Consider the following 22,649-nt stretch of genomic DNA (forward strand, 5'->3'; position numbering starts at 1 on the left):
GGGCTCCCGGTGCCTGCAGCCTTTGCCCACTGTTTTGGTGACATTTCCTTCATGGTAACCAGCCCCAAGTAAAACATCCCAGGAAGCAGCCCCTAAAAATAGCTCCTCCCAGGGCAGCAGCAAGCAGGGGGGAAGGGAAAGAAAGGGAGGAGAAAAGAGGGGAGCAGATGGGAAGCTGCGGCTGCTGCTGATAGGGCCCAGGAAGCGGAGATGGTGTTGGGGAGGAGTGGCTGGAAATCTCCCCACCGCACAGCCCAGAGAGGTGGGTACAGACGGGAATGGGGCCTCAGCCAGCAACGAGGAGGGATTTGCTCCACCAGGCTTGGAGCTTGGGGCCTAGATGGAGAGGTGTGAGGTGATATGCCAAGATTCATCACAGGAACAAAGTATCCAGAACCTGTGTTTTAAAGAAAGGCGCCAAGGAGTGGGTGGAGGCCACACGGCCTGAGGACGCTGGGTCTGAGCCCTGGCAAAGTCATGGGCACCTGCAGCACAAAACCAAAAAAGAAAAAAAAGACCCCAGACAAAGCTTTTGTGCTTTGATTTCCCCAGCGGTCCTGCGGCAGATCTGTCTGGCCATGGGTAGGTGACAAAGGGGCTCTGCAGAGAGGCATTCAAGAGGTGCAAAGTGCCCATCTCCTCCTGTCACCACCCTTTTGGCACCCATGGGATCAGGCCCTTGTTGGTCTGCCAAAGCTGTTCAGAGAGCAGCAAGCATACAGATGGGAGCAGGAATGGTCACACCCAGCCTCCCCTTCCCTATCTCCAGTCTCAGCAGAGAATGGGGTCAGCCACTCACCTCTAGGGTTTCAGCACAGCTTCGAACAAGGGTATGGTGACAAGGGACCAGAGGAAGCAGCAGGAAGAAGGCAGGGGCCTCCCTGACAGGACAGGGCAACCTTCCCACCTCCATCCCCACACCATGATGCAGCACCCCAAGTCACTCTAGGAAGACAGGTGGGAGGGGAGGGGGACAGGCCAGTGTTGTGTGTGCTAAGGCCCACAGCTCAACGTGACCGCGTGACAAAAGCCGCCTGGCAGAAGCCTTTGCACAGAGGGACCTGCAGTCGGCTTCCATCCCTTCAGGAGAGAAAGTAGAGGCGCTCCATCACTGATATGCAGGATGCCCATTTCTCTGTTTACAGAAATTGGCCTGTTTTATCCTCAGGAGGAAAGCATGGTTTCGCACACAGCCTCCTTAAATGCTTCCTCGAGGCCTGTGTTCCAGTGCTGTGTGGATTTCTCTTCCTTCTCCCACTCCCTGCATTACTGCTTCCCCCTCCCTTCTCTTTCCCTCACTTCACCCAGATCCTTAACAGGAAAGTCTCACTTGGAGATACCACAGGGGACACAAATGTCATGGGGGCTACTCAGGCCAACACTAAGGGGGCGGGGACTCTCAGCTGGCACCATCCAGGGGATCCCATTTCAGTCCCCAGGGCCAGCTGGACCCAGAAAGGGACAGCCTTTACCCTTCTGGTGGCCAACATGCCACAACCCGAGCCACCCAGCTTGCCGCAGCCTCAGACACAGACACCCCAATCCCGAGGCCCAGAACGAGGCCCCTAATCACAGAACAGCCCATGTGCACAGATGGCCACATAGTGGCAGACACACAATCTGGAGAAGGATGGGCCAAGGTGTGTCTGTTGAATTCCAGAGGGCATGGCAAGAGCAACTGTTGTTGCAGATTTTAGGTGGCATCTCTTAAAGAGTGGCTCATGCCTCACCTGCATGAAATTCACTGGAGCATGTGTTAAAAATGCAGATTCTGCAGCTCCACCCTAGACCTCCTAAAGCAGAATCTCTGTGGCTAAAGCCCAGAAGTCTGTATTTTTTAAACTAGTACTCAGGGTGATCCTTACGCACACTAAAATTGAAAATCACTACCTGGAAGAGATCCCAACAGTGGCCCTATAGTGCCATTTAGTGACAGGGAAGGAGGAATCATCAGCTAAATGTCTGCCTACATCTCCCACTCTGCCTTATGCCCCAAGCACAGGTCTTTATCCTCATCTGTCCTCTCTTCCAGCAGCCGTATCAGGTCTGCAGCTTGGCTCCCTGGATCAGAAAGGGAGGACCCAAGTCTGTAGCAGGGTACAAGGGCTCTGGCAACTTGACTCTGAGTTTCCTAGGAGCCAAAGCCAAAAGGCAACCATGATTGGTTACATAGTCCTCTTGACCCATTCATTTAATGTGTATGTGGCTGGCATACGTCAGGCACTTCGCTAGGGCCTGCCCATGCAGAAGTATAGAAACACATAAGGACCCTTCCCTCACCTCTCAGGTCCTCACAAAGAGGAAAGCTTTTGCTTACATTTAGCTTCAAAAGAAATTTCTTCACACGGAATGTACAGATTAAATAAATATGTTAAAGTATTATAACAGATTTCAAAACACTGTTTCCGGTAGCATCTCTTAGTAAGGCCAAGGGCATTACCCCAGTATCTATCTTGGTAAAAGCAACTGGAATCCAGATAAATGGTACATATACAGAAGTTTCTTGTGATGCTGATTGTTTTAGGGATAAATCCTAAACGACGTAGAAGAAAGGACCATTTGCCCTTCAACTGTAGTAATATGGGGGAAATGCTTTGGATATAAGCAAAGAGAGCAGGATATAAAATGTTATGCTCCACGAGGTGAAAATCTGTATGCATATGAATAAAGATAAGAAGGGAATATGAAGATTTAAAAATAAAAAAAGACATAAGGGCTCAGGCTCCTTGAGGGGGGTGCTCTTAAATCTTAAAATAACGACTTATCATTGCCATCACCTGGCCCACTAGCTCCTGCATCCAAGCCTATTTTAAATGCCTCCTTCGGCCTAGTGGAGCTAAGCTTGGAACCATGGGCTCCCTTAAGAGCCCAGCTCCACTCCTATCACGGTTCTGAAGCAAACGGAGTGACGTTATGTGACTTTCAGTGACTTTATGTAGACAGGCCCGCAGACAAAGACAGTGCTCAACGCATATCCGCATGAACTCCCCACCTTGCAACCTAGCCGCCAATGTGGGCCTCTGAGGCCACAGTGACAAGACACAACAGCCCAAAAGAAGGCTTCCTGTCTCGATTGGACCCCCCCAGAAGAACAGGTGATCCCTCTCCCTGACTCCTAGCCACCTCACCAGGGATGCCAAGGAGAAACAGCTCTATACCCTCTTTTTATCTTTTCAGTTTGTAGCCCAGAGAATCACAAACAAGAAAGACAGGAGGCAGGAAGACCCAGTGAACACAGCAAGCCCCTTCAGACCTTCACAGATGACCCTGGTGGGCCCACGACATTCCCAGACACAGAAATCCAACACCTGCGGAGACCTAGGCAGACAGCGATGAGTGAAACCCAGCTCCAGTGGCTGCACCTTTATAAAATATATAGTGTAAACTGAGAGTCTGCAGGGAAGCCATGGCCCTCACTCCCTAACCCCATGGGAACCAGCCCATGGCTACCCTGGCCCAGATCTCTCCAGGAGTTCACATCTCCCATGCCCACACCTATAGTCCAGCCCCACCTTGTTCCCTCCATCTCCAAGACAGCCCCTTTCCACTTTCCCACCTCCACACAGTACTGGCTGGCACTTACACATTCTGACCCCTCTGGCTGGCATCTGTGCCTATCATCTGTGCCTCTGTCCCAAAGTCAACCTGGCACATGAGGCCACACAACAGAGCCCAGTCTTGGCATATCCATCTTGGGAGAGGGGGAGTTGCTGTCTGAAGCATATACTTTTACACAAGAATCCTCTTCTTGAGGGGAAAAAAAAAAAAATCAACGAGAAATCAAGTCTCATCCAGTTTGGCCAGGGAAAGATATCCATTGGGAAAGATGGGACAAGGTTAAAAGGAGGTGAGGAAGGGAAAGGGAGGCTATCACACAGGTCATGGAAATTTACGCAGGTAGGGAAGGAGTAGGAAATGAAAGCCCCAGTCAGGCAGCTGCAGGAAGTCACCACATCACCTATCCTCACATCCCAGAATTCGGCTCCCAGCCATCTCTCCTTCTCTTACCCATGGGTCAGAGGACACTGGTGAGATGAAGAGAGCAAAGCATTGCATCATCAACTGGAGACACCAGATGCCAGCCCTGTTTCTGATGCACCAGGGCTCTGCTGTGTGGGCAAGAGAGGTATCCAGCCTCAAGCCATTGTTCCTGCCTGCACCTTCCATCCTTGGCCAGAGGATGTCTGCCAGAGAGCCCAGCCCCTGTTGTCCCCCCCACCCCCACTCCAGGGTATCTGACTGCCCACATATCTCTATGGCAACCATCCTCAGACTCAAGGTACCCAGAGAGAAAGAAAACAAACAAGTCCAACTTTATAGGCAATGTACACGAACAGCAAGAGATGGAGCTGGATGGGAGTCAGCAATTAGTGCCCTACTAGAGGGATGGAGAGAGAGTCCCCAGTCAGGGAGTGGACACGGCCCTGCTAAACAGGTCCCAGAACAACTGCCAACACGACAGAAGCCCGTGGAATTGTAGAGCTTCTCTAAGCATTTGGGACATCTATTATGTCTCTTATCCCAGAGAAACCCGTGTCATTATTGGCCAAAGCCCATGTCTTCCCCAGGGCATGTGTCCTGGCTCCTAATATATTTATGGCATCCTACTGCCCAGCCCTAATTCCTTTCTCTGAGTTTCACAACCTTTGTCCCCCAGCTGCACCCTGCAGCCCTCCGAGATCTGACCTCTGTACTCACCAGACCTGTTCCCAGAGCACTTCACACATTGCTGGGTCTACACCTATCAGATGAGGTGAGTTTGGCAAGTACCCAATAGGAAGTTCAGAGAGTGTAGGTTCAAGGTGTGAAAGACAGGCCCTGACCCTCCAAGCCTCAGGTACTTGGGAGGATCTCGCAAGTGAGGCCCCAAGGCCTTGGCCTTTATGCTCCTCAGACTCGGAGGCAGTGCAGTTCCTGCCCAAACCGGGCCTTTGGGATTTCTAGACCATGAGGCATCACCCTCCACCCAGGACAGACTACATCTGCTGCTGCACCACCAACTTTGTAATTTGATCAAAAAAGCAATCAAGTTCATCTGGCAGAATTTGTTCCTGAGAAGCCCTCGCCAGTAGCAGCCTCCCCTGATGTTTACAGATTCCCTTCCCTTGGGAGTCTGTTCTGCCGCCTGGTGGGCAGGGGAGGCTGGCTTTGTCAGAGCTGCTCACTTACTGCATTTCCATCCTAAGTCACCACTGGGGCACAGGGACCAGGAAAGGCCTGCAGTAGCCACCACTGCCCCAAAGGGAGAGGCTCCAAATGCCCCAAATTAAGAGCTCCCCATTCTGTACCACCCACTACCCCCATATCCTCCACCTCCCTGAAGACCGAACTCCCTTGAGCCTTTGGGGGCCACTGCAGCTACTTGCATCTCTTCCTTCATTCTTTTGTACCTGGGCGCTTCCAGTCCCCCATGCAACTCCTTTTCTGGCTTCAGCCTGACACAAAGTCCAACCAGTCTGAAATTCCAACTCCTCTCCAAGTGCTAAAACGCACAACCCCCAATTCCTGGGGCTTCCTCAAAAGAAACCATGGCCCCTGGAGGCACCCTCAGGAAGAGGTCAAGACAGGGAACACTCACCCCGGGCAGACAACTTCTTGGTATTGATGATTTTTGCTGCGTACTCCTGCGTGGAGGTTTTCTTCACACACCTGCGGACCACAGAGAAAGCACCCCTGGAGGGAGAAGGGGAAAAGAACTGGGACACGGAGCAGGGCAGAGTGACACAGACACACTTCAAGTCTGGGGACGATGATGCTCCCACCACCAGACCTCTAGTCACACTCACGTACATGCACACACACCGGCGCTGTGACCACCACCATCCAACATGAGGCAAAAGGACGCGGCCACCGCAGGACACTGAACAGATGTGGGTGGCGTGCCGCGCTCCCACCCCCTCATCCAGTCCCTGGGCAAGGCAACAGCCTCCACCTCAGGCTGCACATCAGGAGCGGGTGGGCGATGCTGAAAACACACACCTGCTGCATCTCAGACAGCCCTGCGGTCCCGGCCAAGAGAACCAGGGCAGAAGGGAGCAGAGAGACCCTGCCCTTCTCTCAGCAGGAACAGTTGAAGGTCGGGGAAGGAAAGATTAAAAAGAGGGTATCATCCCCTGAAAGAGAAATCTCCCTCAACCATGGGGCAAAGTGAGGCTCAAACCCCCCCACAGCCGGTTTCATCTCACTGCATCCCGGCTCAACTGACAGCAAGGGAAGAGAGGACACAGTCAGACATCAAGAACTCCCCTTCCCATGCTATTTTCCTTGACGTCCCCGTCAAACGGGAGCTCGCACTCTGAGCTCTGGAAACGTCTGGGGGGGCGGGCGGGGCGGGGGCTGCAGTGGCCGGGCTCGGCGCCGCGGGTGGGGGTGGGGGGCCGGGGCTGCTGCAGCGGCCAGCTCAGTGCGGAGGGGAGGGGGATGCTGAGGCTGCGGCGCGGCTCCCGGGACCACTGCAGGGGTGGGGGGAGGGGACGGGGGTGCCGCAGCACTGCCCAGCCGCGGGGCTGGGAGCCTGGAGCGGCACCCGCGGGGGGCGGGGCCGGGCGCCAAACAGCCCCCCCACGCCCGGGCTCCGCAGCAGAGCTAGGGCTGCAGGGCTGGGGAGGGTCCTGAGTGCGAGGCGCGTGGGACCTGGGTTCAGGGTGCGGAGTGAGCAACCGGGCAGCGTTGGGAGGTGGTCGGGAGGGGGGCGCCTGAAGGGTGCGGAGGGGCGGGGCTGGAGGGCACCCGGGAGCGGTCCGGGGTCTGCGGTGTCCGCGGCGGCGCGTGGGGAGCAGCGGCCCCGCCAGTTGCTGCAGGGCGCGGAGGGGGATGCGGGGCAGTGCGCGGGGGGCGCGGGGACCGAAGGCGGCGGGCGGGAAAGGCGGGGGTGGGGCGGCCGAGGGGGAGCCGCAGCGGCCGGTGCAGGGCCGGGGGGCGGGGCGAGAAGCCGCATAGCTCCCGGGCGGCAGGGCAGGCAGGGGACCGCGGCGGGCGGGCCGTACTTGCCAAGCTCCTCGAAGAGCTGGTAGTCGTCGGTGAAACGGGTGCAGGTGGCGGTGGTGGCCATGCTGGCGGGCGGGCGGACGCGGCGGTGCAGCCCGCGCCGACGTCGGTGCACAGTCACCGCCGCCCGGCCGAGGGAGCAAGAGGAGGAGACGGGGCTGAGCCCGGCAGCACCGCGAGACTTTACCGGGGAGAGCGAGGGAGGGAGGGACACCCCCGCGCCGCCCGCCCCGCCCCGCCCCCAGGCCCCGCCAGTCCCCCCCCCCGCCCGGCCCCCGGCCCGCCCCCGGGGAGGGGCCTCCCGCCGCCGGCCCCGCCCCGCCCCGGAGCCGCCCTCGCTGGGCCAGGCGCGCGGGGCAGCCGAGGGGAGGGGGTCCCCGCTCCGGGCCACCTGTCTGGGCAGACGGAGCTGGAAGGTTCGCGACTTATGGGCTTGTCCCGGGGCGGACCCCGCGCGGGCTCGGGAACGTGCATGCGAGGGTGCATGTGTTAGGAGTGTAGGAGTCTGGACCACTGACCTCTCTGGACGGGTCCTACACGCGGGTCCCGAGCCCCCAACCGGGCTCCTAGCACGTGGGGAGAGAGCCAAGGTCAAGGAGCCTGTGCCAGGCTGCACGCCCGGGAGGCGCCCCCAGCCTGCGCAGAGCCAGCTGCCAGCCGCCTTCCCTCTGGGAGCTGACAGTCTAGACTTGCGCAAGCACCAGGGCCATTATTAGAAAGAAACCCTTCAGGCGCGGGTTGATCAGGGAGACCAGGCCAGGGGCAAGGATACAGGTAGGACTCTGCCTTCCTGCACCATAACTGCAGAGATGAAAGAGTATTCTCTATCCGGCCAGAAATGAAAGGGGTGAAGTAGGAAGACTTGAAAAGGCTTTGTGCAGTGGGGGCTAGAAGAGAAAGTGGAAGAAAGGGGAAATCCCCATTTTCTTGCAAGGCACCCTCGTACTTTTATTTTCTGGCACCTACCACATTTTGTAGTGATGCATTGACTGGTATAAGGGGCAGTAGAGCTATCTCATAGCTGTCTAAGCGTGAACTTGCATCAAACTGCCTGGATTGGATTTCTAGGCAACTCACTGATCAGCTCTGTGACCTGGGGTAAGTCACTGAATCTTTTTTTTGAGACGGAGTCTTGCGCTGTTGCCCGGGCTGGAGTGCAGTGGTGCGATCTTGGCTCACTGCAGCCTCCACCTCCTGGGTTCAAGCGATTCTCCTGCCTCAGCCTCCCGAGTAGCTGGGATTATGGGCGCGCGCCACCACGCTCGGCTAATTTTTTTGTATTTTTAGTACAGACGGGGCTTCATTATGTTGTAGTAATGAAGTATGTATGTAGTACATACATGAAGTAATGAAGTATGTATGTAGTACAGAGGTGGCTTCATGAGCCACCTCGCCCGGCTGGGAACAATAATATTACCTACCTCATAGGCCTGTCAGCATTAAATGGTCTAAGGCACTTAGAATAGTACTTGGTGCCTAATTAGAACTACATTTGCTGGGCCGGGCGTGGTGGCTCATACCTGTAATCCCAGCACTTTGGGAGGCTGAGGCGGGTGGATCATGAGGTCAGGAGTTCGAGACCAGCCTGGCCAACATGGTGAAATCCTGTCTCTACTAAAAATACAAAAACTAGCTTCCCGCTGAATTGTAGGCTCCAATAAAGCGGGGCCTCTGCACCTTTTGTTCACCATTGTACACTCAGCCCCTGACCCTCAGTAAATATTTGTGGGATGGCAGAGGGAGATACCATCCCTTCTCCTGTCCCCACCATCACAAGTTGGTGGGACAGAGGCACATAACTGTCTTGATGGGGGACAAACAGGCTGGGCAGGTTCCTGACCTGCCTGGGCAGCTGTCCCCTGAGGCTGAGGCCAGCCCCAACTGGGCAGGGTGGAGCTCAGCCAGAGGCTGCCACTCAGTCTTGATTACAGCAGGACGCCCACTGGGAGTCGGGTCTCCCTCGCCAGCAGGCTCGCTCTGCCAGAGGAGGGGGCTGAGAGGTGTCCCAGCCTCCCAAGCTGCCTCCCTGAGGGGTGGGTGGGGCAGAGCTCTCCAGGAGTGCTCCCCTCCTGTCCTGACCCAACAGCCCTGAGAGCTGCTTTGGGAACCAGACTGCCCAGTAGGGGTGATTAGGGAATGGGAGGGCATGAAGCCCTAAAGGAAAAGCATTAGCAGTTCTCTTGGGAGAAGGGTAGAGAGGGCCAAGGGAAAGGGTAGCAGTGCCAGAGCACCATGCCCTACCCCTCCCCAGGGCAACAGGAGGTAAAGTGGAGAGTAAGGCCACTTCCTATCTCAAAGCACCTGGGTGAGAGCCAGGTCCCAAGTCCCAGTGTGGGGTAGGGCAATGAGATTGCATACATGGGGATGCCAGTAAGTGTTGAGTTTCTGTCATCCATCTCCAAAGCAGAAGCAACTTTGAATATCAGTTGATCATCAATGTGCCCTTCCTAAGTGCTCAAGGCAACTTGCTTCCTGACCTCCAGGCTGATACTTGAAACTTTCTATTCATGAATGGAAGGTGGAGTGGAGGAGACCCTGAGAGGTCAGAACAAGCACAGAGGAGGGCTGCCATGGAGTCCCCTAGGAGTATCCTGGGGCAAATGTAAAACAGGACTACAACCCTGACCAGTCTCATGTGCCTGCTGTGAGAGGAACATCATCCCGACTGAGGGGAGGGTTCAACACTAGGTGTTTTGGGGTAACCACGTAAAGCATTTTGCATTGTGTCTCTAGGTAAAAGGAAGAGTGATGAGAAAAATATTGGAGTGAAGCCTCAGGGGTGACTCATAGTACTATATAAGTGGAGCTAGCTGCCTTTCAACAAATATGACTCCCTACCATAGGTTTGTCACTGCCTTTTACTTTTTGAAACATTCAAATAAAGTAGAAAATTAGAATTCACACAATTAGAAGAAAACTCAATCCATCGTCTTTTTTTTTTAACCCCTCAGACAGGGTCTCGCTCTGTCCCCCAGGCTGGAGTACAGTGGTGCTGTCACGGCTCACTGCAGCTTCACCCTCCCAAGTAGCTAGGACTACAGGCATGTGCCACCACACTCAGCTAGTTTTACATTTTTTTATAGAGATGAGGTCTCACAATTTTGACCAGGCTGGTCTCAAACTCGTAGACTCAAGCAATCATCCTGTCTTGGCCTCCAAAAGTGCTAGGATTACAGGCATGAGCCACCTTGTCCAGCCTCCTTTTTCCTTTGTATCTCTACTTCACTTTTCCCTTCCTCCCTCACTACTTCTCTCAACAGCGCAGCCTCTGACGCATCCACGGTGGTGGTTTGGAGCCTATAGACACTTCTGTGTGCACACACAAACACACACCCTCGCACATACACCCTCCTCTATCCCCACTGCTGTAGCGCCCACACAACCTCCAGCTACCCTACAGCAATTAGAGGGAAGATACACACAAATAATAACAAGCTCACCAGCTCCCTCCACTTCAGTGTCTATGGCAACCTCCTGGGGTCTTTGGGCTGGGTTGCTCTGGTTGCAGCCAGTCCCCTGGGCAGCACCAGCACTCAGGCTGTGCTCAGAGCTCAGAGAACAGGGAATGACAAAGATATCAGTACCCTGATAAGCACCAGAGGCACCCCACTGGGTGGGACCATCTTTCTCTTTGAAGCCTGCAAAGTCTCACGTCCATGAGGGGTTTTCAATCCATATTCTAAGCAGAATCCATGGGGTTACGAGGCCAGGCCGCAACAGCTAGTCAACATATATATATTGACGTTCCACATAAGATTTGGTTGCAGTTAAGAGTCCCTGACTAAAAAGAAGTTTGGAACCCATTGGACTTCTGGGTCCTTTCCAACTCTGAGATTCTATGATTAGTTTTGGAGAATTAGGAGTGATGAGATCATGACCTCTCTCCAAGGAACTCTGAGAGAATTATTAATGGTGCGGCATTTAAAACTGGAGAGAAGATGTGATCATGGAGATAGGAAAGAGTGAGAAAGCAAATACAACATTTGTTTTGTTTTGAGACAGTGTCTCACTCTGTCACCCAGGCTGTGGTGCAGTGGTGTGATCCTAACTTACTGCAGCCTCTAACTCCTGGGCTCAAGCCATTCTCCTGCCTCAGCCTCCTGAATGGCTGGGACTATAGGTCCATGCCACTATACCGAGCTTAATTAAATTTTTTTTGGTAGAAATGAGGGTCTTGCTATGTTGCCCAGGCTGGTCTTGAACTCCTGGCCTCAGGCTGTCCTCCTGCTTTGGCCTCTCAAAGTGCTGTGATTACAGGCATGAGCCACTGTAAACACAGTATTTAAATAAGCAATCCTCACACTGGGAGGGAGTGAAGGATGCCCCTCTTTGCCCTGGAAGGTACATCAGAAAAAGCCTACCAGTGGGCTTCTCCAAATCACTACTTTTTCCCATCCTTCCTGAGTCTAAAAGCTGGAAAAAAAAAAAAAAAAAAAGACTGAAACCACAGATTATGTCAATGAGTGCAGCATTTTTTTTTTTCTTTTCTTTTTTTTTTTAAGATAAAGTCTCACCATGTCGCCTAGACTGTTCAGTGGCATGATCCTAGCTCACTGCAGCTTCTATCTCCTGGGCTCAAGTGATCCTCCCACCTCAGTCTCCTGAGTAGCTGGGACTACAGGCACAAGCCACCATGTCCTACTAATTTCTTTTTTTATTTTTAGTAGAGACGAGGTCTTGCTGTGTTGCCTGGGCTGGTCTTGAACTCCTGAACTCAAGCAGTCCTCCTGCCTCAGCCTCCCTAAGTGCTGGGGTTACAGACATGAGCCACAGCACTTGGCCTGACTGCAGTATTTCTTAGAGGAGGGGCTGAGATATTTGAGGTGAGTGGCTGAGCTCCTAAAGTTTGGGACGTAGGAGATTTTGGAATGAGAGTTTGGGGCGAGGGCTGCAGCATCTGGTGTAAGGAACTGAGGTGTCTGGAATAGAGTTTGAGGCACTAGGGATGAAGAGCTGAGCTGAGAAATTCAGGTAAGTGTAGAAATATGTAACGTGAGGAGCTGAGGGCCTGATAGGGGGGAACTTCCTTACATTTTCCAGCCAGCGGGTTAGTTCCAAAGAGCAATGTGATCCTGGCCTTCTCATCCATCAAGTCCAGGGCATGGCCCCCTCTGCCTCTTGACCCCTCTGCCATCCTCCTATAGACTGTGAGCTTCTTGAAGGCAGGGCATTGCTGATCTTTCTCTTTGTATCCCCAACACCTACCATTGAAGCCTGGCACATAGTAGGTGCTGTCATTTATGGAATGAATGAAGTATTGGGTGCAAGGGGCTGAGATATTTGCAGTGAAGAGGCAGAACCAGTGGACAAATCTGTCATCAGAGACAGTGACAGAGCTGTCATCAGAGGCACAAGGGAGGTACTGATGTGACGACAGGCGGGCGGCATGCGTCAGCGTGGACGACCTGGGCAGGAAGAGCGGCATGTGGGGCCCCCTGGTGGGCAAACGTGAGGGGCACAGGGAGGTACAGGAAGGGGAGCGTCAAAAAAAAATGACAAAGGGAGGTGTGGTGAGGATGACAAAACTCACCAGCGTAGCTAACGTCTAGAGAAAGCTTGCTACTTACAAGGCACATGCACTAAGCACTCTAAATAAGCTACTCTATTTAACCCTCACCATCACCCTGCAAGTGTGGGAGTTTTACAGAGGAGGAAACTGAAGTTTAGAAAGGTGAAGTAGCATGTCCCAGGGCAAATAGCTAACACAATTTATGGTGGAGCTGCGAGAATATGATTGAAGGGCAGTGAATAGAAAGAGATAGGGGGGTCAGTAAATTGTATGGGGAGCAATCCAGATAGGCTGACACCACCAATACCATCTAGATTGGAATCTTAAACTCAGTGTGGATTTATCTCAATCTAGTCCCAGCCTCCTGAATCCAGGCATGTACCCACAGGGGACATTTGTTCATTCATTCATTCATTCATTTATTTTACTGAGTAGCTCCTCTGTTACAGTCATTTAGGAAACAGAAGAGGAGAATCCAGCAAAACTCTGCCTCTTGTAGCTTACATCCCTGTAGGCAGGCAGTGTAACTGGAAAGAGGTCATTTTGGACTGGAGTTAGGTCCTACTACAGAGAAAGTAAAATCAAGTAATGGGGATAGAGAGTGACGGGGTAGGGAACATAGAGGGCGCCTTTAACCGAGGTGCTCAGACCTGGGGGCTCTCTGAACGCAACTTTTAAGGGAGACATTTAGGAATAACATTTAGAAATGATGATAAGGAGGTAGTTGTTTGAAGATCCAAACAAGAGCATTCCTGGTGGAAGGGGCAGTGACAAAGTCCTGAGATAAAAAATGGTCATGGTCCCAGCTACTCGGGAGGCTGAGGCCTGAGGATCACTTAAGCCTGGGAGGCAGAGGATGCAGTAAGCCGTGATCATGCCACTGCACTCCAGCCTGTACAACAAAGTGAGACCCTGTCTCAAAAAAAAAAAAAAAAAGGTCATGGCATATTTGAGGGGTGGAAAGAAGACTGGTGTGGCCAGAGTGGGCCAGGGGGCAGCAGGAGGAGAATAGGGCCCAGAGGTCGTAATAAACCCCACATCCTGGTACAACCACCCTGATGTTCCTTCTGTGGCCCCAAACTCTGTAACTCGCAGGGAGCCCACAAGGACAGGCTACCTCCATGCTCACAAACAAAGGAGACCTGAAATCCCAGCTCAGTGCAAGAAGACACCTTCATCAAGGACAGACATAAATCTGGGTCTGGAGCTAGAAGTGATGCTGTTCCTTGGCCCCTGGCCACCACAAAGAAGGGTGGTAGAGATGGCCACAGGATGACCTGTCTGCACTCCAGGGACTCTGGGGGTGATGCACTGGGGGTCTCTGCAGAAACAGGCAGTTTCCCCTTAGTCCATTCAAACAACTGTCTCCCTGCCCTGGGCAAGCTTTATTCTTAACCCCTCCAGCGGACAGCAACAGGCCAGAAATAGGCCCTGCCTTAAAGAGCTTTACTCACTGGGGACAAGAAGATAAACATGATAATAAAACAAGGATACAAGCCCCAAGATTAATACCACAGGCAGCCTCTGGATCTTTGCACAAGTGGCTGCCTGACTCACTCTTCCCTTCCCTCTTTGCCTGTCTGTCCTCCAGGTCTCTGCCCAAGCAGCATTTTCTCAGGGTAACTTTCCCTGGCCTCTTGATCAGATCAAATTTGTATCTTGACAGCCCCAAAACTACCACCTGCCACTTCTTCAAAGCACTCGTCCCAAGTGTATACAGGTGTTTCTATGACTACAGGCATAATGAGGGTAGGGTCTATTCCTGTTTATGTTCATCCTGGCATCCCCAGGATCTAAAGTGCCTCGGCTGTAGTAGGTACTCAATAAATGCTTGGAAAGTAAAAGCAAAGTATGATGTAAATGGGAGTAATGGAATCAGTTGGAACCATCAGAAGTGACTTAACAGAGAGGAAGGAGAGGAAGGATGTTGGTGGATAGAGGTGGAGTTGAGGTGGCAATGCCAGTGGAAAACACAGTGTTGAGGTGCTGAGGGCTTGGCAGGTGTTTGGGACATGGGGTGGTCAGGAGAAATGGAGGGGAGGGGGTGAAGAGGGGAGAAACAGGCCATAAAGCTGGGACCAGCCATGTGGAAATCGTGCCTGGCTGTGGGTGGGCTAACAGGCCAGGCAGGGACTTGCCTCAGGAAGGACCCATGTCAGGCCGGGCATGGTGGCTCACGCCTGTAATCCCAGCACTTTGGGAGGCCCAGGCAAGAGGATCACCTGAGAGGTCAGGAGTTCGAGACCAGCCTGGCCAATATGGCGAAACCCTGTCTGTACTAAAAATACAAAAATTAGCCAGGTGTGCGGGTGTTCGCCTGTAATCCCAGCTATTTGGGAGGCTGAGACAGGAGAATCACTTGAACCTGGAAGGCGGAGGTTGCAGTGGGCCAAGATCGTGCCAGTGCCCTTTAGCCTGGGTGACAGAGCGAGACTCCATCTCAAAAGAAAAAAAAAAAAAAAAAAGAAAGACCCATGTCCAACTCTCTGGACTCCAGGCAAGGTCCAGAGGCTGCTAGGTCCCAGACCTGAGCTACAAATGATCCCCTTCCAGACATTCCCACTTGAATGTCCCACTATCCACCCAAATTCAACATGATCCCCATCCAAATTAACCACATTGAGAAGCTGGATAACATGGTGGTTAAGAACACACTAGCCATGGGAGCCTGTGAGCATTTCTTTTGTTTTTTGTTTTTGAGACATGGTCTCGTTCTGTTGCCCAGGCTGGAGTGTAGTGGTGCAATCACAGCTCACTGCAGCCTAGACTTCCCAAGCTCAATCTATCCACCTACCTCGGCCTCCTGAGTAACTGGTTCTACAGGTGTGTGCCACCATACCCAGCTATTTTCTTTTTGTATTTTTTGTAGAGACGGGGTTTCACCATGTTGCCCAGGCTGGTCTCAAACTCCTGACCTCAGTGATCTGTCCGCCTTGGCCTCCCAAAGTGCTGGGATTACAGGCATGAACCACTGTGCCTGGCCTGTGTTTTATGACTTGTCTGCGCCTCAGTTTTCTTACTGGCAAAATAGGAATAGTAGTACTCACTTCATAGACTTTTTTTTTTAATTAGCATCTAATTTATTTTCACTGGCAAAAAAATGTATATATTTATCATATACAACATGTTGTTTTGAAATATGTATACATTATGGAATGGCTAAATGCAGCTGATTAACATATGCATACCTCACATACTGTTTTTTGTATTGAGAACACTTTAGAATCGACTTTCTTAGTTATTTTCAAGAATACAGTACATTGTTATTAACTATAGTCACCATGCTAACTTATTTTTTTTTGAGACAAGGTCTCGCTCTGTCGCCCAGGCTGGGGTGCAGCAGCATGATCCTGGCTCACTGCAACCTCTGCCTCCCATGCTTAAGTTGGTATTACAGGTACGTGCCACCAGACTCAGCTAATTTTTATTTATTTATTTATTTATTTATTTATTTATTTATTTATTTATTGTAATTTTAGTGGAGACAGAGTTTTGCCATGTTGGCCAGGCTGGTCTCAAACTCCTGACCTCAAGTGATCCACCCACCCCAGCCTCCCAAAGTGCTGGGATTACAGGCCACTGCACCCAGCCAATCACTGTGCTGTATCTCCTGATAGATCTCTTGAACTTATTCCTCCTATCTATTGATAGGATTTTATGAGGAATAAATTATCAGTATAAGTGAAGGGCAAAACAGTGCCTGGAATAGTCAGGGCTCAATAAATATTAGCCATTGTAACTATACCCCTTGCCAACCTTGACCAGTTTTCTTCTCAGGTTCCCTTGGCTCTGACAGTGACGTGACTAGTTGCTGATGACCTAGGTTCAGAATCTTGGAGTCAATCTTGACTCATCCCTTATCTCGCTTAGAGGGCAGAGCTGGGTTTGAATTCTGGGACTGCTGCTTACTATTAATACTTGTGCGACCTGGGCAAGGTAACTAAGCTCCCTGAGCTTCATGTTCCTCATTGGTAAAATAAAGATGTTGTAACTTTCACTGTAGGGTTGTTATAATAATTTAATGATAGTATTTGTAGGTGAATGGTTCGATGCCTGATGCTAAATAAATGGTACTTGTTATCATTATCATCCTGTATATCATTAGGAACTGACACCTATATATTTTTCCCTTTACATGTCCTTGTATCCATCTCTTCTTTTTTATTTCCCTCCCACCATCCTGGACTAGGCCTTCCTCAGCCTCCCGAGTTTCTGCAGTAGCCCTCCTTCTAACTTTGCTGACCCATTTTATTCATTTTCCTCTTTCTTTTTCTCTTTCTTTCTCTACCTTTTTTTTATTTCCTCCCTCCCTCCCTCCTTTCCTTCCTTTCCTTCCTTTCTTTCCCTTTCTTCCCTTCCTTCCCTCCCTTCCTTCCTTCCCTATCTCTTTTTCTTCCTTTTTAAGAAATATTGGCCAAGTGCAGTGGCTCACACCTGTAATCCCAGCACTTTGAGAGGCCGAGGTGGGTGGATCACCTGAGGTCGGGAGTTCAAGACCAGCCTGACCAACACGGAGAAAACCTATGTCTACTAAAAATACAAAATTAGCCGGGCATGGTAGTGCATGCCTGTAATCCCAGTTACTCAGGAGGCTGAGGCAGGAGAATTGCTTGAACGCGGGAGGCGGAGGTTGCAGTGAGTCGAGATTGCGCCATTGCATTCCAGCTTGGGCAAGAAGAGCAAAACTCCGTCTTAAAAAAAAAAAAAGAAATATTAATGGGACATTGTCTCAGTGCTGGGGATATAGTAGTGAACAAGGCTGGTCGCGGTGGCTCACGCCTGTAATTCCAGCACTTTAGGAGGCTGAGGCAGGTGGATCACCTGAGGTCAGGAGTTCGAGACCACCCTGACCAATATGGTGAAACCCCGTCTCTATTAAAAATACAAAAATTAGCCGGGTATGGTGGCGTGCGCCTGCAGTCTTAGCTATTTGACTGAGACAGGAGAATTGATTGAACCCAGGAGGTGGAGGTTGCAGTGAGCAGAGATCACGCCAGTGCACTCCAGCCTGGGTGACAAAGCAATACTCTGTCTCAAAAAAAAAAAGGAGTGAACAAAAGAGGTGATGTCCCTGCCCTCAGGAAGCCACTTTGGGAGGCACTTGAGGTCCCAGCACTTGAGGTCAGGAGTTTGAGAGCAGCCTTGCCAACATGGTGAAACCCCATCTCTACTAAAGATACGAAAATTAGCAGCTGGGCACAGTGGCTTACGCCTATAATCCCAGCACTTTGGGAGGCCAAGGTGGAAGGATCACGAGGCCAAGAGATCGAGACCATCCTGGCCAACATGGTGAAACCTCATCTCTACTAAAAATACAAAAATTAGCCGGGCATGGTAGCGCATGCCTGTAATCCCAGTTACTTAGGAGGCTGAGGCAGGAGAATCACTTGAACCCGAGAGGCGGAGGTTGCAGTGAGCCGAGATTGCAACAATGCACTCCAGCCTGGGCAACAGAGCCAGACTCCGTCCCAAAAAACAACAACAACAAACACAAACAAACAAACACAAATAATAAATTTCTTCTTTTTTTTTTTTTTGAGACGGAGTCTCACTCTGTCGCCCAGGCTGGAGTGCAGCGGCGTGATCTCGGCTCACTGCAAGCTCTGCCTCCCGGGTTCATGCCATTTTCCTGCCTCAGCCTCCTGAGTAGCTGGGACTGCAGGCGCCCACCACCACGCCCGGCTAATTTTTTTGTATTTTTAGTAGAGATGGGGTTTCACTGTGTTAGCCAGAATGGTCTCTATCTCCTGACCTCTTGATCGCCCCACCTCGGCCTCCCAAAGTGCTGGGATTACAGGCGTGAGCCACTGCGCCCGGCCACAAATAATAAATTTCTTATGTTGAACATAGATTGCTTGAACAACAACAACAATAATGCCATATTTTCTCCCTACTATCTCATTTTAATCATCATAACAACCCTAAGGGTAAGTTTTGGTATTCTCATTTTACAGATGAGATTGCGCTGATTCTCTGAACTCACCCCTTGAAATGGTTGGCACCTAATTATGGGCTTGCTGTTTGCTTTCTTAAAATTTTGGTTTTAACTTCTCATTTAGATCATAGGTCCCTTAAAAGCAGAGCCCTAGTCTTCTCCTCCTTATATCTCCTTCTCCTCATATCTTGTGGCCAAGCACTGTGTGCTATACACAGTGAGTGCTTTTTAACGGGTCTGTCCGTTGGATGGATCCTGTTCTGATATGGGCCGCTTATATTGGTGGTGGTGCCATCTTGAATGCTTTCCACTCTGGGCCCAAGGATGGAGAACCTGGAGATGGTGCGGGCCACAGAAGTGAGGAGGCTAGGTCTCCACCCCAAACGGGCAGTGATTCTGCTTGTCCACTAGAGGCCGCCTTAGACCCAGTTTTAGAGAGCCGGAGAGCTACCAGATTACTCAGCCCACTCCACCCCAGGGGTCATTTCCAGCACCAAGTCTGTCTTAGAACCCAAGGCCCCACAGTCCATTATTGGTGCCTCCAGCTATGGTTTCTTCCAGTAGATCACTAGATCTCAGACATGGAATGAGCTCCAGAATAAAAGTTGCTGATGCCAGCTAGATAACAGGAGTGTTCTGGCAGGTTCCAGGTGCCCCTCAATGAGCCAAATCAACAAATGTATATGGGGCACCCAACTGAGCACCTTCTGTGTACTAGGCAGGGTGCTATACTCTGGGACTAGTTTGGTGAACAAGACCTCCCTTCTCTACTCTCCCAGCTCTTATGATCTAATGAGGTACACAGACAAATCTAAAATCAATGCATTGTGTGATAAACTGCTGACATGATTTCTCCTCCAGGGTTAGTTCTCTCTATGTCTCATTTCACTGTGAATTATCCCATGAGACACCTACTTGCTTTAGGGCAAGGAAGTAAGGCCAGAAGCAGAGAAAAGAAAATCATCCACATTTGGAGAATCACTGCAGAACCCCTCCTTTCAGGAGGTATAAGGATCTCCAGTGTCTTCTGGTAGATCTGAGGGCATCTGGGGCTGGAGTGGGTGCTGGGGACAAGGAAGTACCAGGCCACCTCGACACAGCCTTCCTGCTCTTCCTTCTCCAGGTGGCCTGGGAGCTTTGCTTGGGAAGTGAAGCAGATTCCCCAGACTTTGGGTTGTGATCTGCCTGCTTACTTTCTCACTGATTTATCTTTGCCTCTTTTTGTTTATTTATTTCTTCCTTTTTCTCAGATTATCTGTCAGTCAACATGTTTGTCAAATGAATGTGATATTCAGGGCACTCTTTTTCACTCAGAAGCATGAGGTCAAGGAAGTCACAACAGAGTTGGGGAGATAAGATACAGAGGGATAGAGACAGACTCCCGTGCAGTGCCGCATTTTTCTAAGTGCAAGTTGTGGCTGCCCGTGGCCATTTCCAGGGATAGATCCCTGGGGTCTGAGGGAGTCCGGGAAGGCTTCCTTCCTGGAGGAGCTCTCAGCCTGCCCAGTGGTGAGTTTCTGTGTGCGGGTGTTTTCAGAAAAGACAGAGAAGAGTGAAACATCCCCTCCACCCAGTTGTTCATTCCGCTGTGCCTGGACAAGGGTCTCAGAGGCCCCAGTGCTCCACATTCCTGAGAAGCAGCTTCTGAGTCAGAGCCCCAGAAACAGCTGAGGCGGCTTCAGGCTGGAGTCTTGGCTCTGTTTTCCTCCATTCTGTCCAAAAGCAACTCCCTCCGTAGCTATTTGGATGTGACCAGAAACCCAAGCAGGGCCCTGGGGTGGGAGCCTGGCTCAGCCAAAGTCTATAAAATGGATTTGTTCCCTGCATTCCCTCCAGGGCTGCAGCCGTCAGGTAAAGGTGGGTGCCCAGTGACACCTGTGCCAGAAAGCCCAAGGGGCAGGGGAGACTCACCCTGTGCCTACAAGTTACAGCCCCCAATGCAGCTATTATTGGGTTGCCTCCGGGAAGGGGGTCGTAATTAGGATTTGGCTTAAGTTAAGACAGCAGCATTCCCTGGGCAATCTGCCAGCACCTCCTCACTGCCTGGGCGTGGGGCCCAGGACATGCCAGGGCAATGCCAGAGAGCTGACTCAGGGGGCGGCATTAGGGGAACAGAAAAACCCTTCCCACCCGCCAGCCAAGAGAGGAGATGAAGCTGCCTGGGGGCCCGCTGTGATGGCCCTGCATGCCCAGACCACTAGCAGGCTGTGTATGGGGTCACTTCTCAGGCCACAGAGCCATGAAGCCCCATATTTCCTGGGGCCATCAGCAGAAGGCCAGGGCTCCCCATTCATTCTCTGAGTTCCTTTCTTCCTGCAAAGACCTCTAGCTATGCAGGTCTAGGTTCCCCAAACCCCTTTCTACATTGATGCAGGCCCTGCCATTGCCACTTTCTTAAGACTGTGACCTTGGGCAAGTCACTTACCTGGGTGAGACTTAGATTCCTTATATTTAAGATGCGATGAAGAATATCTGCTTGCCTCATAGGGCTGCAGTAAGGATCAAATGAGATAATGTCTATGAAGGTATCTTGTATATTATAAAGCACATTTATAATAAGGGTATTATTGTTGTCATCATTATTCCTGAGACAGAAATTATAGCCTCTGGCTCCTGAAGCTCAAAGTCCTCCTCTTTGCCTCCTTTATTCTGACAAGTTGCTCTGAAACCCAATGCCATAATCTTAAACCAGTCTTGAGCCTCGGAAGCATTGACACCCGCTCTTCTGCCTGGTGCTATGGTGCCAGCTCCGGGAAGCAACCCCCATCACCCTAGCTCTGTTAAACCGGTTCTTTCTCTTCTAATCAGACTCCTCCAGTCCAGTTTGCCTGCAATGATGACAAAGAAACCTAAAATAGCACAGGCTCTGCAAACACTGCTAGAAACTGAGCTTGGGGCATAAGGTGCTGTCTGTCACCCATGGGCCCGTCTGGGCATCCCAGCCAGGTGCAGCCCTCTGCCCTCCAGGGTCTGGCCTATCTTCCTTTATGCAGCCCCAGGATGACAGTTCCTCCTGTCAGCACTTTGTGTGGCTGAATTGGATGACTACCTAGAAAGCTGGCTTGGCTAGAGGTGCCAGAGGAGGGGGCTTACTGCTCCCTCGACCAGGTCCTCACCCCTGCGCTCTTGGGAACTTCCCTCGTGCCAAGAGGCCAGGTGAGCTGAGCTAATATCACAGGGAACAGCAGCTGCAACTGTGGCCCCAGGGAAGGTTGTGGACTGGGTACCGGAAAACCCTGATTCTGAGGACCCTGTGACGAGCAGGCCCTGGCTTGTCATTGTGACTACAGAACCAGTTTAGTGTGCAGCTGCTGGAGTGCCTGCCTGTGGGCCACTGGGCCTAGCTAGGCTCTGGGATTTCCCATGGGGCCTTCATATGACTTACCCTGGTGGGTGTGGTGGCTGCCAAGGCCTGATTCAAATGAGGAAGCTTGCAGCAGGGAGCCACGGGCATTTCTTGCCGCTCTAGCAGAACACTCATCATTGCCTAGTCCTTCTCTAATTGACCCGATGTTAAGTCGCCATTTGCATGTGGCACGAGTCTCTACCTTTAGAACTTTCTCATCCAGCTCTTTTGTTTTCTTTTCTTTCCTTCTTTCTTTCTCTTTTTCTTTTCTTTTCCTTTCCTTCCCTTCCCTTCCCTCCCCTTCCCTTCCCCTCCCCTCCCCTCCCTTCTCCTCCCCTTCCCTCCCTTCTCCTCCCCTTCCCTTCCCTTCCCTTCCCTTCCCTTTTCTTTGTCTCATCATCTCCCTCTGTCGCCCCAACTGGAATGCAGTGGCGTGATCTTGGCTCACTGCAACCTCCACTTCCCAGGCCCAAGTGATTCTTGTGATTCTCCTCAGCCTCCTGAGGAGCTGGGATTACAGGCACACGCCACCATGCCTGACTAATTTTTTGTATTTTTAGTAGAGACAGGGTTTCACCATGTTGGCCAGGCTGGTCTTGAACTCCTGACCTCAAATGATCCTCCTGCTTTGTCCTCCCAAAGTGCTGGGATTACAGATGTGAGCCACCACGCCTGGCCTCATCCAGCTCTTTCTTTTTTTTTTTTTTTTTTTTGAGACAGAGTCTCACTCTGTTGCCCAGGCTGGAGTGCAGTGGCCTGATGATCTTGGCTCACTGCAATCTCCTTCTCCCAGGCTCAAGCGATTCTCATGCTTCAGCCTCTTGAGTAGCTAGGACTACAGGTGCCTACCACCACACCCAGCTAATATTTGT

The 22,649-nt window shown here is 51.6% G+C and overlaps 1 protein-coding gene and 1 long non-coding RNA gene across 79 annotated transcripts in view, besides 11 other annotated features; both read right to left on the reverse strand.

Annotated features, from left to right (window-relative positions):
• CAMK2G (calcium/calmodulin dependent protein kinase II gamma) overlaps window positions 1–7,145 on the reverse strand; it is a 62,055-nt gene extending 54,910 nt beyond the window's left edge. For 58 of the 78 annotated variants that reach the window (NR_160042.1, XR_007062000.1, XR_007061999.1 and 55 more), the window contains exons 1-2: window positions 6,987–7,145; window positions 5,579–5,673 (exon numbers count right to left, since the gene is read on the reverse strand). Coding sequence is in view for 48 of the 78 variants with exons in the window: in NM_001222.4 (NP_001213.2) it covers window positions 5,579–5,673; window positions 6,987–7,051 (160 nt within the window). In the remaining 30 variants the exon portion in view is untranslated. Of the gene's footprint in view, window positions 1–5,578; window positions 5,674–5,790 lie in introns of those variants that run through there. The other 20 variants (XR_007061995.1, NR_160041.1, XR_007061998.1 and 17 more) reach the window with 7 other exon arrangements.
• Window positions 6,538–6,597: a silencer, noted in NCBI's record as "silent region_2491". NCBI's record gives its function as "represses an Ori minimal core promoter by ATAC-STARR-seq in GM12878 lymphoblastoid cells {active_cell/tissue: GM12878}" and the evidence as "EXISTENCE:reporter gene assay evidence [ECO:0000049][PMID:35858748]".
• Window positions 6,858–7,027: a silencer, noted in NCBI's record as "silent region_2492". NCBI's record gives its function as "represses an Ori minimal core promoter by ATAC-STARR-seq in GM12878 lymphoblastoid cells {active_cell/tissue: GM12878}" and the evidence as "EXISTENCE:reporter gene assay evidence [ECO:0000049][PMID:35858748]".
• Window positions 7,088–7,247: a silencer, noted in NCBI's record as "silent region_2493". NCBI's record gives its function as "represses an Ori minimal core promoter by ATAC-STARR-seq in GM12878 lymphoblastoid cells {active_cell/tissue: GM12878}" and the evidence as "EXISTENCE:reporter gene assay evidence [ECO:0000049][PMID:35858748]".
• Window positions 7,258–7,537: a silencer, noted in NCBI's record as "silent region_2494". NCBI's record gives its function as "represses an Ori minimal core promoter by ATAC-STARR-seq in GM12878 lymphoblastoid cells {active_cell/tissue: GM12878}" and the evidence as "EXISTENCE:reporter gene assay evidence [ECO:0000049][PMID:35858748]".
• Window positions 7,758–7,867: an enhancer, noted in NCBI's record as "active region_3578". NCBI's record gives its function as "activates an Ori minimal core promoter by ATAC-STARR-seq in GM12878 lymphoblastoid cells {active_cell/tissue: GM12878}" and the evidence as "EXISTENCE:reporter gene assay evidence [ECO:0000049][PMID:35858748]".
• Window positions 12,273–12,322: an enhancer, noted in NCBI's record as "active region_3579". NCBI's record gives its function as "activates an Ori minimal core promoter by ATAC-STARR-seq in GM12878 lymphoblastoid cells {active_cell/tissue: GM12878}" and the evidence as "EXISTENCE:reporter gene assay evidence [ECO:0000049][PMID:35858748]".
• Window positions 18,735–18,844: an enhancer, noted in NCBI's record as "active region_3580". NCBI's record gives its function as "activates an Ori minimal core promoter by ATAC-STARR-seq in GM12878 lymphoblastoid cells {active_cell/tissue: GM12878}" and the evidence as "EXISTENCE:reporter gene assay evidence [ECO:0000049][PMID:35858748]".
• Window positions 19,776–20,975: an enhancer, noted in NCBI's record as "CDK7 strongly-dependent group 2 enhancer chr10:75646944-75648143 (GRCh37/hg19 assembly coordinates)". NCBI's record gives its function as "activates an origin of replication core promoter dependent on BRD2, BRD4, P300/CBP, MED14 and CDK7 cofactors, with strong dependence on CDK7, by STARR-seq in HCT116 cells {active_cell/tissue: HCT116}" and the evidence as "EXISTENCE:reporter gene assay evidence [ECO:0000049][PMID:35650434]".
• Window positions 20,139–20,857: an enhancer, noted in NCBI's record as "H3K27ac-H3K4me1 hESC enhancer chr10:75647307-75648025 (GRCh37/hg19 assembly coordinates)". NCBI's record gives its function as "activates a minimal SCP1, AML or CMV promoter by ChIP-STARR-seq in naive H9 embryonic stem cells {active_cell/tissue: H9 hESC(naive)}" and the evidence as "EXISTENCE:reporter gene assay evidence [ECO:0000049][PMID:30033119]".
• Window positions 21,004–21,962: an enhancer, noted in NCBI's record as "H3K27ac-H3K4me1 hESC enhancer chr10:75648172-75649130 (GRCh37/hg19 assembly coordinates)". NCBI's record gives its function as "activates a minimal SCP1, AML or CMV promoter by ChIP-STARR-seq in primed H9 embryonic stem cells {active_cell/tissue: H9 hESC(primed)}" and the evidence as "EXISTENCE:reporter gene assay evidence [ECO:0000049][PMID:30033119]".
• LOC124902454 (uncharacterized) lies at window positions 21,052–22,053 on the reverse strand. The gene is made up of 2 exons (XR_007062196.1): window positions 21,817–22,053; window positions 21,052–21,259 (listed from the first exon to the last, which is right to left on the reverse strand). It is a non-coding gene; the product is annotated as an uncharacterized LOC124902454 (long non-coding RNA).
• Window positions 21,419–21,498: an enhancer, noted in NCBI's record as "active region_3581". NCBI's record gives its function as "activates an Ori minimal core promoter by ATAC-STARR-seq in GM12878 lymphoblastoid cells {active_cell/tissue: GM12878}" and the evidence as "EXISTENCE:reporter gene assay evidence [ECO:0000049][PMID:35858748]".

The sequence above is a fragment of the Homo sapiens genome, chromosome 10, assembly GCF_000001405.40.
Source record: "Homo sapiens chromosome 10, GRCh38.p14 Primary Assembly".
Classification (NCBI taxonomy): Eukaryota; Metazoa; Chordata; class Mammalia; order Primates; family Hominidae; genus Homo; species Homo sapiens.